Source organism: Homo sapiens, chromosome 18, assembly GCF_000001405.40.
Source record: "Homo sapiens chromosome 18, GRCh38.p14 Primary Assembly".
Classification (NCBI taxonomy): Eukaryota; Metazoa; Chordata; class Mammalia; order Primates; family Hominidae; genus Homo; species Homo sapiens.
In genome coordinates this window covers 6,479,893-6,483,147 of record NC_000018.10, presented here as the reverse complement: position 1 = coordinate 6,483,147, position 3,255 = coordinate 6,479,893, and the positions used below count along the sequence as shown (strand labels likewise).

Below are 3,255 nucleotides of genomic sequence, written 5' to 3'. Positions count from 1 at the left end.
GTGAGCTGCTGCAGCCCTGCCACGCTCTCCCAGGCATCTCCACACAGCCAGTAAGTCTAGGACGGGTTGGAGTCTCACCTACAGGGCATGTGATTCTGTATATTGTTACCTTTATTGGATCATACACTCACAACAAAATAATAATTCTCTTCTTACAGTACTTAGAGCAATCATAATGTTTCCTCTGTGTGAGGTCCTGCCTGGCTGAGTCACCTACGCCAGACGGTGGCGAGTAACCCTTCAGACGTCATGTTTCTCCCAGCTTTCTTCACCAGCAAGAGTTATTTTGGCCAACCAGCCATCATTGGTCCCTGCCAGGAGGTCTGTAAGGCGGTCCTTGGGTGGGGCTGGGCCGACCCCGCAGGACCTCCCTGCAGGCCCTTCCCTCGTGAGCCAGCAGATGGTGCTGAGGCAGCACGGGACCCAGGACTGGGGCGGCCACGCACTTCCCAGGGAGCGAGGGTGAAATGCGATTCCTCCTTAGACGCTAAGCAGGGAGTGAATTGTGTAATCCTTAGTATTTCACACTTAAAATCTCCAGGGAATTTGTCTTGAACTAATTTCCAGCATTATTCATCCCAAAAGTTCAAAACCATTTCAAGGTTCTTGGATAACCTATGAAGCCAGAGGCCTTGTCTTGTTTACCCTTGTATGCCTGAGACCTAGCATGAGGCCTGGCACTTAGTAGGAGCTCTAGAAATGCTTCTGAAATGAACAAAGCATCTGCATAGATTCAGAAGGGCAAAAGTGGCTTGTTCAAAGCCACAGCCACAACCTTTAACCTGCCCTGGGCTTAAACCCAGTACTTCCGAAGTCCTGTCTGCTACTGTACCCTATCTGCCTGCAGTTTTCAGAAGAGCTGAATTATTGTCTTTATTATAGTTTATGAACATTTTTAAAGTTTTTCCTACATATGAATTTAACATATAAACCAGTGAGAAATTTGGATTCCATGTACAGAGAAATTCACTTTACAGGGATGTCTGTTTATTAATACATATGTGCCATATTTAATTGAAAGGGACAACTTCACATTAAGGTTCAAAAACTTCAATGTCTTTCTATTTAAAACTTCAGTATGGTATCATTATGCACAGGAGGAGAATTGCCTGATGGTAAAACTTCACTTCTCCAACAGCAGTGAAGATACAATAAGCCAATTCAATTTTTGTAGACCTCAGTGTATTTTTAGAAAATGTTAACCATTTTGAATCGGTAGCTTTCTTAAATGTGGCATGTATTTCTCATCAAGAAAAACGTGGAATAGAATTAAACTGATTCGTTATGGCTGAGCATCCTTTCTGTGTAGTGACAACCTTTGGGGCTACAGAGGCCATGTTTGACACCCTGTTTGCTCTACCCTATTGTCTCAATCCTGTTTTGATAAATAAACAACTCTGGGCTGCCTTATTGTTTCTGTTGCTTGTTTCTGCTTGCGTAGGTTTCTTTTTCTTCTCTTCAGCATCATGCTGTCTGCTCTTCTCCCCACTGTCTCTTTTTCATGTCCCTATGTCCAGTGCCCTTCACTGACAGTCAACCAAAGCCACACACAGCAAACCACTCCTAATCCACTGTGGTTTGTTTATAAGATGCAAATATTGGTAAAACTAGAAGAAGAGTAACATCTAAAACTGAGTGTCTTGCATTAAAACACAGTGCGAGAAATGTTGATAAGATTGTTAGCATGCCATACGTGATCTTTGAGACTTGGACTCGGATTACCTATTTTTGGAGCTCACAGGCTTTTTATTATATTTCCCTTTTTTTAATAGGAGGGTAGGATGGGGAGGGGGAAGGGTTAGGGGTCAAGAAGGGAGAAGGAGGCTAACTGTGTTTTATGTAGTGAGAATGCTGATGAACAACTTCCAGCTCTGTGAAGTTTTCATTTTTCTTGTTTATTGTGATTAATGTGCTTTACTTGTCCATTTAGCTGGTTTTTAAAAGTTTCATGTAAATATTTTTATTTTCATTTTATTATTTTTTAAAATAAATTTTATTGTGTATATTGGAGGTTTACAATTGGATATGGGATACATATAAATAGTAAATTGGTTACTAGAGAGAAACAAATTAACATAACTATCATCTCACATAGTTACAATATTTGTGTGCCAAGAGCAGCTAAAATCTACTTATTTAACAAAACTCTCTAATACAACGTACTTTTATTACCTATAGTCCTCATGTTACACATTAGATCTCTACCCTTGTCCATCCCACGTATCTGCTATTTTGTATCCTTTGACCTACATCTCCCAATTTCCTCCCACTGGTTACCACTGTTTTGTTCTCTATCTCTGCATATATGACCTTTCTGTTTTCTTAGATTCCACATATAAGTGAGATCATGCAATATTTTTCTTTCTCTGTCTGGCTTATTTCACTTCACATAATATCCTCCAGGTTCAACCATGTTGTGGCAAATGGCAGGATCTCCTTCTTTCTAAGGCTGAATTATTCTGTTGTGCGTGTGTTGGAATATTACAGTTTCTTTATCCATTCATCCGTTGACAGTTAGGTTGTTTTCATACCTTGACTGTTGTGAATAATGCTGTAGTGAACATAAGAGTGCAGGTATCTCTACTAGCGGGTGATTTAATCTCCTTTTAGTATAGGATTACTAGGTCATATGGTATGGTAGTTCTATTTTTAATTTCTTTAGAAACCTCCATACTGTTTTCCATAGTGGCTGCAGCAATCTACATTCCCACTAACAATGCATAAGTGTTCCCTTTTCTCCAACCCTCCCAACACTCTCTCCATTTGTTACCTCTTGTTTTTTTGATAATAGCCATCCTAAAGGGTGTGGGGTGGTATCTCATAGTGGTTTCAATTTGCGTTTTTTTTCTTGTTTTATTTATTTATTTATTTTGTTTGTTTGTTTTTCTGAGACAGGGTCTCACTCTGTTGCCCAGGGTGGAGTGCAGTGGTGCGATCATAGCTCACTGCAAACTCCCAGGCTCAAGCAATCCTGTTCTATCCTGCTATATTGCCCAGGCTGATCTCGAACTTCTGGGCTCAAGTGATCCTCCTGTCTCAGCCTCCTCAGTGACATGCGCCACTGTCAGGGCACTATTTCTGAATCAGGTTATTTGTTTTCTACTATTGAGTTTGATTTCTGATCGATTTTGGATATGAACCCCTTATCAGATGCATGGTGTCCAAATATATTCTATCATTCCATAGATTGTCTCTTCACCCTGTTGATTGTTTCCTTTGCTGTACAGAAGTTTTTTAAATTTTGATGACATCGCA

At 40.3% G+C, this 3,255-nt stretch overlaps 1 annotated feature.

Moving 5' to 3' along the window:
- Positions 442-501: an enhancer, noted in NCBI's record as "active region_13061". NCBI's record gives its function as "activates an Ori minimal core promoter by ATAC-STARR-seq in GM12878 lymphoblastoid cells {active_cell/tissue: GM12878}" and the evidence as "EXISTENCE:reporter gene assay evidence [ECO:0000049][PMID:35858748]".